The following is a 13,902-nucleotide window of genomic DNA, read 5'->3' as shown; positions in this document are numbered from 1 at the left end:
CATGTGGATGTCAAGCCTGCTTGGACTTGGGTATTCCCCAGTGGCCTGATCACAGCCTCTACTACTCCCCATCTCACAGAGCCCAGGGTAGGAATTGGAGGCGTAAACCCACAACAAGACTGCAGGGCAGAAGCCTTCCAATACCCTCAAAGATTAGAGTTTCCCCCATTGCTGCAGGAATGAACTGGGGTTTGTCATGAACTTGGCACAGAACAAAGGTTAGCACGAATAGGGGAGTCATGAAAAAAAGAATCAGTGGTTGTCTGTGCCAGTTGCATTTCCCTTGTTACTACAACCTCAGAATTGTCTGTCTTAATACATTACATATATTAAAAGTAGGGACCACTATGAACAAAGTTGAAGGGTAGGAATTCCTGTTGTGGGCACTGCTGCCCTTGTCTTCGCCTCTCTGTCCCCGTAACTTGGCCTCCACCCTTGGCCCATGATTCACTCCAGGTCTTCCCTGGACAGCGTCTTCGGAGGACGATCCACATTCTCAGCCTCTCGTCCGGCTCCATAACCAATTTCATGTTCCATACTCTGTTCTGACAGAGGCCTGCCCTCAGCTCTCGAAGGTCAAATCTAGGATAATTTGACAAATTAATTTGATCTTTCAGATTAATGTGTTAATGGGTATTCTTTCTAACAAGAATTTTCAAGAGAGTTGCCCTATTTGTGTCAACCCCCCTAATGGAGTGGCTCAGAAGGAAGCCATCACAAGGCCCGGTCAGATGTGGTCAGCCAGAGGGAGAATATTTTGGGATCTATGATCTGAGGCTCTCAAGACACTGTTGGCTTCCTATGGCTGGATCTGTCTGGGAGAAGTGTATGAGGAATTTTCTGCACTGAGGGACAAATCTAGATTGTCACTTGATAGATTTCCACCCCAGTGGGCTCCTGGGGGCATTTTATAGATTATTCGAGTTTCCTGAGAGTATGTAAACAAACACAAAGGGAGTCAATTTGAGAAAATATAAATACAGACAAAGGGATCCACCAGAAATGGGAGATTCTGCAGCCCATTCTAGTGAGGTAGGGCAGAGGATGCACACAAACTGAAATTCTGCCCCACAGTTGAGCTTTCTAAAGGAGGCCTTAGCCTCACCAGAATTAGTGGGATAATTTATAGTTTAACATTTCCTTTTAATGTGGATAGCATTTTCCTCATTTATAGTTAATTAGGTTAAGCATGCATGGGGAGCAAGGGAAAAAGGCTTTTAGTGATGCTCTAAATGATTAGTAATTTGAATAAAGTAAAGAACCTCTAGAAGACGGAGCACTGGCACGCATTAAACAGGCTTCTCTTCTAAGTGCTAGAATCGGCCCACTAATTTTGAAGATACTGTGGCAATTAAAGCACTAAAGATAAAAAGACACAGAATGTGCTAAATATCTTGAACAGGTTTTAAACCATATGTATGTGTGATATTAAGTGATATCAAAATAAATGGCTGAAGATTGCAGATGTTGTATATTTGGCATCCTGGGAACCCTGGTGTTGAGCTTTGGTCCTGAATCACACCAACCTGCTAGGGCCCAGGGATAAACTAGTGATAATGGACAAGAGACATCATGTTTTGAGCTCAGCTCCCATTTCTCTGGCCAACGTCTCACTCGGCACTTTTCCTTTATCAGCCTCCTGGTGAGGGATACCGGGAGATTTTGAGTGGAAAGAGCATAGGCTTTGGGCTTTGGAGCCAAGCAAGCTGAAATTTGGATCTCTGCTTCCATTTACTGGCCATGTGAGCTTCAGCAAATAGCTTAGCAGACTGAGACCTCAGTTCGTTCCCCTTTAAAGTGGCTAAACTAGCACAGAGCCCACACCCAGTGTCAGCAGGAGGTCGCAATAAGGACAAACAGGGCCTGGTGCATAGTTGTGGAGGAACAAGTTTCAGTTCCCTTCCTTCTAATGATCAAACCAGAAAGGTGGTGGATTTGCAAGATCTGCTTCCCCTATGCACACTTGCATAGGCCCATGAAAGTAGTCAATAAAAAGATGCTTTCTACCTATCTCTTGGACGCATGTGTGCTTGTGCACACACACACACACCCCTTCTTCACCACCTTGACTGGCTTTAACCTTTGCCCACTTTCCCCATTTTCCCCGGAAAGGATGCTTCCGTGACAGCGAGGTCTAGAGAAGACAGCGCCGTTTAAAAACAGTGTGTAGATCCCAGTGGGGAGGGGTCATTGCCTTCCGGATTCCTAGCCACCCCACCCGCTCCAGGCAGCTGGCCTGATGAGGAGCAGGTGATTTCTTTTTTCCATTGTTTTAATTTAATTCTAATTGAATGTAAGGCTGGAGATGCCTTCGATGGGCTCTTTTTTCAGGTTAAATTTCCTTGGGGAGTGTACCCTAAGACCTCTCTCTTTGTGATAACTTATTCTGGCCAGCAGAGCCAGGGTCTATTTATTACATCTCCTGACCACCCGCCTCCACAACCCTAGCAGGAGGGGCCCCTCTGCAGTTGCTGATGACTAGAGAATTACTCAAGTGTGAACTGTTTCACTGTCTGTCACTTTGCTCATTAGGCAAGTGAGAAAATGTATCTATGGCTCCGTCTCAAGGTCCTCATTAGCTTAGAGGCACATTTTTACTTCCCTTATTTGTTTTTAAGATGAATGCATAAGAAACAGTATTCAGTTTGTGTTCCTCAGTATAATTTTAAGAAGCAAAAGCCTGGATAATCTTATTATCTTCCCAATAATTGTGTTGTTCAGATGGTAGGGAAAAGGTAATTGCCTCTACTGCATTTCCAGCCAGGGTGGAGGGGTGTAACTGTTTTAGCTGTAGTAAGGATTCAAGTCCTCAGCACTGGGGGAAGATCATGGTGTTTTCAGAAAGGTAGTAAACAGATACCCCTAATAAGAACAATCAGTGAGCCTGTACTCTGAGAATGTCATTTTGTTTTCTTCTGATACTCTAGTTTCTGTAGGTCAAAAATATAGTATTATTATTACTACCTTTGTGTTAAATGTAATTCTATGTCTACCTAGAGGTTTGGCAAAAGGTTAGTCATTTTTTGATGGGGGCGGGGTGGAGGATGGTGATTGGAGAGGAATGTGTGGAATATATTTAAGATTTGGTTTTTATGGAGCATTTGTTGCAGGTATTTATGGTTGTTTATCATCTCTAGATTTATTTACTGAGATGATAAAACAGAGCTGAGATCACCCAGTATCATTCAAGAGTTTGACATTCTGGTTGCCTTCCTGATAGAAATGTGTCAGCCTATTTCTTGTTTGTTGCACTTGATTTGGGGGTGTTTAGGATCCATTTTTGTTCAGCCACTTAAATGTTGTTCCAAATTCATTAGCATCTGTTTGGATTCCCAGCCACGGATGCCCTGTGGCTGATAATTTAAGTGCAGAATGTCTGTCTCACAGGGCTAAAGGAAGAAAAAGGCCAGTTCTTTTCTTCACCTTAAAACTTCTAACACATATGGAGCATGTTAGGCTTGGCATTAGCTGCTTGCATTAGTTCACACGTAGGTCTGCAAAATAGAACAAACAGATGAACTAGACTGGTAAATAGAGTATATTTCTGTTTATTTGCATTTTCAGATTGGAGTCTTAAATCTAAGAAGTGCAGAGAAAGCAGCATTCTTCTATTTGTTTTAAAAGCTTGATTCTTTCAGTAATAATGTCAGTCGAAGTGACTGAATTTTCATCTCCCTCAACCATTTTCTTCATTCAGAGAAATGAGAATGCATATCATCCATTCAAGGGAAATATAATGCATTATTATAATATGCCTTGGCCTAAGTAGCTAATCACTTTTTATTAACACTTTTTGGCCCAGGGAGTTGGGATTTCTCCAAGCTGACTGTCAGGGTAGGGATTCTGGGAGTCTATATTAGTAATTAGCATTGCAAGATCTTGACTCCTGGGGTGATTCAAATTAATACAAAATAAAAGTGCAAATTTCCAAATAGTGTTGAAAGCCATATCTATTATTAAATTTATGTTATTAAAGCCCTTTCCAGCCAGTATGACAGGAGTCCAAAGCAAAGGATTTCCTTAAATATCTACACGACTCGTCTTGGATTCTTTAAAATTAAATTAAAAAGCATACAATGAAAGATCAAAAGAAATTTCTGTACAATTGAGTTACGCCTTGGCAGTAAAGTTTTCTACCAAACCAAATCCATACAAAGCAATATTAGTTTCATGGTCACAGTTGCTTTTGGACTTTCCTTGATACATTTGGCAGCTATCTTGAGAGCATCCAAAGAACCGCTGGCAACATCAATCACTCATTTCATAAGCAGGCGCTAAGAGGCGACAGGAGGGCGCTTGGCACAATACCATCTCTCCACCATGGAGCCCCTCCCAGGCAGGGAAAAAGGGAAACGGTGCAGCATAGAGACATTATGGAGCACTCGGCTTCGAATAAGGTTCTGCTAATGTGGAAATAACCTGCTTTCTCTAACCATGTCTTTAGCAGACTAAGTGGTTAATTGTTATTGATCAGCTCTGCCCACTGTTCCAATATCAGTCATTATTGAAAATAATCTCAGTATCCTTCATTAAGCATGCATCTGTTTCCATGGGAATGCATTTTAAACACAGAGAGCTACTTGAGTGTTATTGGTTTCACTGGTAGCGCCGGCACCGAGGGCTGTGGTTGCCCAATCTGTCATAGTTAATCAACTCTCATCTCTTAACACTGGCTGCAGTTATCAATGAGGTAAGGATTAATATTCTGGGCGAAGCAGATGATAAATCATTTGTATATAATTAGTGTACAGCAAGGTTACAGCTGACATGAATTTTTATCTTAATTATGAGAGAAATTTGTTCCATTAATTTAATTTAGTTTGCATGAGTGGCTAGACACCTAACAAAGTTAATCTTACACCTGTCATTACAACATTAAGTAGAAAGCCTCGTGTCGAGGCGCTAGTCTCAGATCCTCCCGCAGATGAGGATAATGTTGTTCATCTTGATGTGAAAATAGATGATTGTAGACAGAAGATGTAAAGTCGACTCTTTTTAAAGTTGTCCCAGGGAATTTATGGGAGAATATTGAAGTGGCTCAACTCAAGTTGCTGTGCTTTGGATGCCACAGTCCCCTTGTGAAATTACCTCTCTCCTGCCTTGCAAATCTGGTGGAAGACACTAGATACAAGAAGAGATAGGTTGTTTTTTAAATGTATATATGCTAACTTCAGAGCTTTTGGCCAAATAAAGCTTTGCCTCATGACAAGCTATTGCATTTGTATCAAATGCAATGAATTAAGAAACTTGTGCTAGTTCGAGTTGTCTATTCTAAGTGCTTCATGTTTATAATCGACTAGCAGAATTCCTATAACTCGATCTACTGTACAAATGGTAATTATGCAGACATCCCAAAGGCTTCAGAGTACTGCATAAACCTAAACCCTGTACTAATTATCCAAGTAATCACTGTGTCTGATCAATCATATTTGATTGATAGATTAGATGGGGCTGTTTATGCAGTAGAATGTGATGTTCTTTATTTTCCTAAAGATTAGCTACATATTTGAGATTTTAAAAAGGAAGAAAAGACTTGCTGACTTGGCTTATTTAAAATGGTTTCCTTTATAGACTTACCTTTGTGATAATTGTTTTCCCTTGATGTCTGGCCTGGTGTAGGCAGAAATCTTTAAATGAAAAGGGGTAGGAAGTCACAAAGTTACAATACAAAATCCTTGAAAACAAGACGACCAAGGAACAACTCCAGAATGTGGAAACGGAACTAGAAATGGCATCATGGAAGAGAGGCCCTTTCTGAAACTGCGCATTTGAAATATAAGCTCTGGCTTCCAAAGGAATGGGCCTTTGCATTTAGGAGACCCCAAATAAGCCTGCAGCTGAAATGCTAATTGCACAGTAACTCAGATTAATGTATTGTAATATTAGTCCACAATTATCACTTGGAGATAGGGTCAAGAAGTGTATAGTTGGTTATTCACAAGAAATGACTGATTTAAAAACAAAGAGCTCTAATGGAATTCAATAGTGCTTTTCAGTCATTCTGCTTGGCATCTCTATTACCTGAGATGATTCACAGTCCATTACGGGAGCTTCCATGCTAATAGAATGTCTATCTTCTGTAATACAGACACATCACAGCACTAACTGGGAATCTGTCACTATGAATTTCATCTAGATTTCACTTCATCTCTTCATGGACTGTAAAATTTGCTCTTGTACAATGCCTAAATTTACTGTGGGTAATTGAGAGAGATCTATAGGTGCAGCAGCACTCGGTTAAAAGCAGTTTTCCAAAGATCTATTGTAAATTGTGCAGCTTTGCCTCAGCTGGGGAAAGATTATGGTGAGCTGAATCTTGCCTTTACTAATGAGATGTTGTTGTGAGTTCAAAAAAGAGAGCGGGGAGATGCCTTAGTGAATTCTGCCACGTGGAAAAAGGAAAACAAGGAAGGGGCCCATCTTTCATTCCGAAGAAAGCTTTGCAAAAGGGACAAAAATAAATTTGGACCCAGGCTTCATTACCTTCCATGGGAAGTATAAATAGGGGCTACGAGAGACATAATATTTTCCAAATCTGCCTGCATTTACTTGGCAGAAAAAGAATGTCTCACGCGTGACCCAGCCTTCCAGTAGCTTACATTTGCCTCCTCGTGTGGCTGCAGGTAGAACAAATTCCATCTCTCATTTGCTGCACCTTCTGTTTCACAGATTGTTAATCCTAACTAAAATATTTGGTATTAAACTATCTGCATGAATTGTTGATAAAGAATTAAGATAACATTTGAGCTATTAAATATAATGTGTGCTCATATTTTTTCAATGGATACTTCGGTTACTGCTCATAAAGTATACATACTAACCTTTTTTTTTTTCCTTCAAACCGTTCCCCTTTCTTTATTTTACTTATTCCCATCAAAAGCTAAACAGAATCACTGGGTGCCCTTAACAATTGTAGGGCTTAATATTTGTTAGCCAATTAGAATTGTGATATATTCTACAGCTTTTTTCCTAAGCCAGGAACTGAATAATAGCATCATGCTTCACTGGCGGTGAAGTGAGCTGAGCCTTTACATTAGGAGAAAATCAGAATGGTATGACTGCAGTTCATTACTGAAATAGGTAACTGATGAACTGAAAAGACAAAGGGCATTGTTAAATGAAATGTCATTATTAGAGGTGCTCATGTTTAACAAATGTACTGTAAGTTAATTCAGTAGTGTTTTCTATAAAGTTCTCCACTGAATGTTCACTGCTCATTTTTACTGTCTCTGCATACCTAACATCTCCTTAAAAATATCTTCAAGGAAACAATGTCAACTCCCAGTCATGGGGAATATTTAAACCAAGATCAGAACCATCTTCTAGGCTCAGGTGTTTGCGTCACTTTCACTGAAGACCCTAGCCAGGTGCAATTGTGTTTATGTTCCTAGATTTACATGCAATAAACTAGGATGTTAATAATGCTGCGGGGGGTGGTGCAGGGAGGATAAACACAATCACTTTGCAGAAGACTTGGGAAAATGTTTTCAGCTTAAAGAGGAGAAAAGGCAATGAAACCCCTTTGGCATCTGTGCAAAACTGTTTGCTTGACTCTGGAGGTGATAAAAATAATTTATGGAGCCCTACATTTTTATCAAGAGGAAATGACCTCAGCTTTTGGCAATCTGATGCAGTTAGTGAAGCCTCTCTCTACTACTTTTATGGATTTCCTTGAGCTACATATTCTGTGACCTGTATTTCAGATTTATTGGCAGATACATAAGCCACATTAAGTAATATAAAATGCAGTGAATGCATCAAACAACTCAGCAGGGACCCACTGACAGCCGGCGAGAGGCTGCCTCTTCAAAGAAGTCACTCTAAATCGGATACCTGTTTATGCATTTGTCGAACCAGGCTCTGAATTTTTGTTTTAAATAAAGACATTAGTTCAAAACAAAAGCCTCTTCAGCCAAACCCATAACATATTGGGTGGCAGGAAGAGGGTGTACAGCCAACTTTAAAATCTAATCAAACGCTCAGGATTTTGAGTGTGAACATGCTTTGCTTCCAGTTTGGGGGGAAGCACGACTTCTGAGGAGGAGAGAAGGGGCCCCCAGCATATGGTGTTTGATTCTCAACAAGACAATAGAGTAGCATTTTGATGAGGGAGATGCAGACTGACCAATAATGTCTTTGGGGAAATTCTTACTGCCTTGATAAAGAGAAGGTAAGTACCAATGAGGAAATGAGTATTGCACAGTGCTATGTGCTAACCACTTGAAACAGAACTGGGAGAATTTGTGTAAGACCTATACCACCATCCTTGATGCCATCAAAGGCAGGGTCCCAATGTGTCAAAGCAGAAAGAGAATGAGTATGGCAGTCAAGAGACCCAATTCCTAGCTGGGGCAGCTGTGTCACCTTGGGCAACTGCCACCCTCTCCCTTGAGGTCATGACGGGGCTCCTGGCATCCCTTCCAGCACAGAAATCCTTTGATTCCTTAAACAATGATGTCCAAATGATTGATGTAAGAGAAATGAGATCACAGGATGCTGGGGACACCTGAACCAGCCATGAATTACTTGAGAAGATTCAGGCCCTGGCATTAAGCCAAGCAGAAAAATGATGGACATGTGGTTTCATGGGGAACTTCTAATTCACCTTCTTGTGACTGTTATATTTTACTGTTAACCGTTCCCTTTTAAAGAATGCCTTGTGGGACTCAGATGAAGGTACACTCCCTCCAAAAAATGTTCTGGGTAAATTCCACCCTACTATGGTCTGTCCAGTCTCTGAAAATTGACAGCCCTTTGTTTGCACCACTTCATACTGTCCATGTGAACAATTAAACAGCGTGGTTAAGAGCTCAGGTTCCAGAGTCAGATGGCCCAAGTTTAAGTCCTGATTCTGCCACTATTAGCTGTGTGACCTTGGGCAAGACTCCTAACCTCTCTGAGGTTTTTCTATTCTGTAAAATTGGAATGACAACAATACTTTTGTTGACTGGATGATTGTGATGAGGATATGAGATCTAATTTGTAAAGCATTAACACAAATATGTCACAGAGTAAAATTCTCCATCTATATTAGATATTATTATTATTGTGTTTCATGCATGTCCATTTTGTCTTTTCTTCATAAGAGCATAATTGATTAAAGACAGAGTCACAGCACCACATGTTATTTGTGTTCCCTACAGTGTTGGGCTCACAGTATGTTTTTAGAAAATATGTAACTGAGGGGTAAAGTCCTGCTACGGTGGAGAAAGGAGAATGAGGCATAATAGCAAAAGAATAGAAATATCTTCTCTCCTGTTGCATAAAGAGAAGTTTTAACAATGGTTACCATTATTAAGCATTCACCTTTTGCTGGGCACTTTACACAAGTTATTTCTAATCACTATTCTGCCAGATATATATTATTATCCCTGTTTTACAGAAATAAAAGTTGAAGTTCAGGGAAGGTAAGAAATATTGCACGTGACTGAAGTGAAAGGATGGGATTCAAACCCAGGTCCGTCAACTGCCAACGTCCACTTCTACCCACAGCATCCTGTCAATCAGATAGATGCTCCTTCTCTGAACAGGCAACATAGCTATCTCCTGCTGGCAAATGATAAGAAATTAGAGATGGGATTGCCAGATGAGCCTTTCATGCTGAGTCACATAGAGCAAGACATATCACAGGCAGTGGCAAAAGCTGAAAGTTGAGAGTCAGTCTTCAAAAATGCACACTATGAAAAGAAATGCAGATCATAGTCATTTTGGGCTCACACCTTAGCAACTACCATCACCCAGGTTCTATTTGAAGCCAAACAATTGTGGCTTAAAGGTGCTGAATAATTAAGACATTGAATATAAGTATTAAATAACAATATGATGCTTTAGGACCCGGAAATGACAGCCATGCCTTACACTTGCAAAGCTCCTCTATCTCCCTCGAATGTTCACTCGCATTAAGTGAGGGGTAATAAGATGGAGGAATTCACATTGGCAAGGTGGGGACATGGTCTGAGAAGAAAGATGTGATTAAGAGAGGTAGCCAGGATCAGCCGTAAACTCCCAATTGGAAGTTTCAGTACAGGTGGTGGCTTGGACTGGGGCCAGCCGAGAAACATGTGGTCCACACAAAACGTGTTGGGGTCCATATTGTCTGGAAGGACATGGTATTATGAATGTCTTTGTCTGATTGGAAATATCTAGGCTCTCCAAACAACCATTTCCAGATCTCAATATTGTCTGCCTTCCAGAAATGTTTCATCCTAGACTTGAGTTATTCACATTGTTTCCCCAAATGCCAAGTAGAAATGCTTGGGATGATAAAATAGAAAGCACAGAATACATTTGCCTTGGGTGCACATTCTTAAAGCACTTCACCTCAAAGCCGTCCAGAGCTCTGCTAGCTACTAAGAGGGTTGAGGCAAGAACAACCTCTAATAATTCAAAACTAAAATTAGACATTCACTTGAAAAATTCAGGTAACCGAAACAAAAATGAGGGAAGCTTTGTTTATTTAAATTATGAGATAATTGCCACAATTCTCCAATTCCCCTCACTAGGGTAGACTTGGCTTGAGTGTATCAGCATCCATGGTGACTCATCTAGTAAGTAAACTACATTAGCTCTGCTACCAGCAGAAAGGAAAGGGAAAGGTCTTGAAATATATCTATTGTGGCTTCCTTCCAGAGCAAGGGATTTCATTATATCCTGAAGACATGAGACAGTTCAAAGAGATTTGAAATACAGAATGAGAAGGCGGAGGAGGAGAAGTTTGGGATTATACACTTGCTTTTTAGTTTTGATTTTATATATGAGAATCAGACACTACAGACAGAGACTCTAGGGGGAGACTTTATTCTTCTGGTCCAGGGTTTTGTTTTGGTTCGTTCTGTGGTTAATATCTTTCCAAAAAGTTCCCCCCACATGGGTAGGCCTTCAGTTTACTCCCATGTACATAATTTCAAATAAGTATGACAGAAAATCCTTTAAAAACCACACATACATGATTTTCTATTCCATGGCTGAAATGAAACTTGATGGGAAAAAAAAGCATGATGGTGCCTGTTTATTAAATCCAGACAATGCAGAATGACAATAGGAATCATCCTGAAAGAGGCACCGCAATATTTTTGTAACAACAGAATAATAACTTGCTTTGCCTCTGTCTACTTTTAAAACCATTTTATGATTACAAGCATGTAAGCTATTCTAATTATTACTCTAAATAATTAATCATTTCCTTTACAATCACTTATTAATTAGCTGTCATAACATTGTTGTGAGTTAGGTGGAAGACAAAGATTCAATATTCAGTTATTAACACCTAATTAAAATGTTCATTGTTTTCCATATGTTGTTTATAGCTTTGCTTCCTCGCACTTGAAGACAGAATTTCTCCGAGAACAATGTCCTCTATTTGCTTAGCTACATCGCCATCTGTTGTTGAGAAGTAGAAAATGTCCTTTTCTGCTTTTTCACTTAATAGCTTAATCCTTACCTCAGTTTTTATTTGGAATTAAAAAAGATTGATCCCCAATATTCTCCCCCTAAAATATTTTTCTTAACTTTATTTGTTCTGCTGCTGACTACATAAAGTATTCTGCTAATGCCAATGGCATCATTTAAGTAGTAAATTAAGTGAGCCTATTAATGAAACTACAGTGAAAAATTCAAACTACTCCAATAAACTTTTCCAACATAGGAAAAGTATAGAAGAGGGGAGTTTGCTATCAAGTTTGGTTTACAGAAAGTCACCATCGAGGGAAATTTAAGATCTAATAATCCACCAGCCTAGGCAACATGGCGAAAGCCTGTCTCTACTAAAAATAAAAAAAATAAAAAAAATTAAAAAAAAAAAAAGCCAGGCATGGTGGTGCATGCCCGTAGTCCCAGCTACTCAGGGGGCTGAGTTGGGAGAATCACCTGAGCCCCGAGGTTGAGACTTCAGTGAGCCATGATCATGCCATTGCACTCCAGCCTGGGCAACAGGAGTGAGACCCACCCTGCCCCATCTCAAAAACAAACAAACAAAAAAAAGATTGACTATTTCACATCATAAAGATATGTCTTATACTAACTCATTTTTATAATAAAAGCTTATGTTTATTGAGCAACTACTGAATGCTAAGCACTGTTCATTCTTGCAACAGTCCAATAATGGAGACATTGCTGTGTTTGTGCCCACTTTACAAATAGAGAAACGGAATCACCAGGAGGTAAAGTCATTTGCTGATTCAGGGGGAGGCTAAATAATTTGTGAGGCTTAGTGCAAAATCAAAATGTGGAGCCTTTTGTTCCAAAAGCAGGGAAAGAAGTGCCATTAAAAGTATGAAAATATAAAGCTTTTTCCTTTCTTTCTAAGTCTCTCTCTCAACTTGTTATGATGTTTTAATTTGCTATTTAATGTTATTTTAATAAAAAATTTAATGTTGTCATTGTATGAGTTTTACCATTCATTTTTATATTGTGCAATGTGTTTTCAATGCAAATAAAAGAGCATGTAACTCATATACAGAATAATCAAAATTTCACAATTCGTTATTTTGTCGCTCATGTGTGTGTATTTCACTCTCTCCAGAATGGTAGAAATGCTGCACAAAACCAACTCAACTATTTTCATCTCACTTGATATATGCACAATCTACCAACACTGCTCACCTTGGGCTTATTGGTGAGTAGGGAATTACAATTCTCTTTCCTTCTATGTCATCATTTTCAGTACAAGTAGTTAGCCAACACAGAGAAGTAGCATAAGAGAGCATATGGTAGGCTTTCCTGTAATTCATGTTTCTTGGAATGCCTTGGCCTGCTTTCTGCATTCAAAGCAAGTTCTGGCCCAAGCGAAAAGTCAGTGGTAGATATGCAGATATGCCAATATGCCATGCTCACCTTTTCCTCTTTAAGTCTCACTGAACTCCCACATATTCTGGGTCCACCAGAATTCTGTGTTCACAAGGTGTTGTGTACTCTGTAAGGAAATAAGGTAGCAAGGAACAGCAGATACTCCATTATTATTATTGGGCTTAACATACTGTGCTTATCTTCCCTACTCTCATGTATGCTCCAATGTCTGTCAGAATTCACTTGCAAAACATAAGTTCAAACATAAAATTGTTGAGAATTTCAAGACAGTGACAGCAGAGCATTAAAATAAGTGTGAGGCTCTCTGAGCCTGGGGCTCTGTGAGACTACGCCCACTGAGCAGATCCTGAGATGATGGACACACACAGAATGACACATCTGTTTCCAGAGTTCACACTTCTAACCACTGTGCTCTGCTGCCCCTCAGATTATGCCCAGAGGCACCTTCAAAAGCTTCTGCTTTATGTGTCCATTATTCATAGAATTAAAGAAAGATGATGGTGGACAGAGGGCCTTAGAATTCCAACCTTCCGATTTTACAGACAAAAGACAAGAAACCCAAAGAACCAGGATGACAGCCCTGATGTCCTGAATCTAGACCTCCTCAAATTGTCAAAATGAATGTATTATCTCCTTCCCCTTTCCATCCCTTCCACAACCCACCTTTCCTTTGGTGCCCCACTTCTTTGCTGCTCTGTAGTAATCCTGTTCAGTCCCCATGGTTCTGGGGATGTGGACTCTCACCCTCTGCACTCAGGCCCAGAGGAGGACACAGAAGCCAGGCAGGCTTAGCAAAGCCGTGTCCTCCACAGGAACCTGGTTACATCTGTGGGGAAAGAGACACCCTTTTCCTCTGGGATGATGAGACATGAGGACCATGACATCATAGAGCACTGGACTTGTCACCAGGTAGAGAGGGACTGCCTGAGAATGAGGCCAATGTGGAGAAAAGCAGAGCTGAGAGACACAGACAAAAACAAACCCTTCAAGGAGTACAGATTTTGAGCATCTCAGTTGAGTCCTGAGTTACATAAATGAGTTAACAACCTCTCCCTTTGTTTCTTAGCAAAATTTGAATCAGGTTTCTGTTACTCGACT

The 13,902-nt window shown here is 40.2% G+C and overlaps 1 long non-coding RNA gene across 5 annotated transcripts, besides 1 other annotated feature; it reads right to left on the bottom strand.

Annotated features, from left to right (window-relative positions):
• Positions 1-405: 405 nt before the first annotated feature.
• On the bottom strand, positions 406-13,648 carry LOC102723413 (uncharacterized). 5 transcript variants are annotated; one of them, XR_427162.4, is made up of 5 exons: positions 13,468-13,648; positions 12,832-12,910; positions 5,578-5,627; positions 3,424-3,494; positions 406-582 (listed from the first exon to the last, which is right to left on the bottom strand). It is a non-coding gene; the product is annotated as an uncharacterized LOC102723413 (long non-coding RNA). The 5 variants fall into 5 exon arrangements; XR_923243.3 differs by lacking the exon at positions 406-582 and having other exon boundaries at positions 3,083-3,494; XR_923247.3 differs by lacking the exons at positions 3,424-3,494; positions 5,578-5,627.
• Positions 2,251-2,370: an enhancer, noted in NCBI's record as "active region_16438". NCBI's record gives its function as "activates an Ori minimal core promoter by ATAC-STARR-seq in GM12878 lymphoblastoid cells {active_cell/tissue: GM12878}" and the evidence as "EXISTENCE:reporter gene assay evidence [ECO:0000049][PMID:35858748]".
• Positions 13,649-13,902: the final 254 nt, after the last annotated feature.

This window comes from Homo sapiens, chromosome 2, assembly GCF_000001405.40.
Source record: "Homo sapiens chromosome 2, GRCh38.p14 Primary Assembly".
NCBI lineage: Eukaryota > Metazoa > Chordata > Mammalia > Primates > Hominidae > Homo > Homo sapiens.
This window is presented reverse-complemented; position numbering and strand designations above follow the sequence as displayed.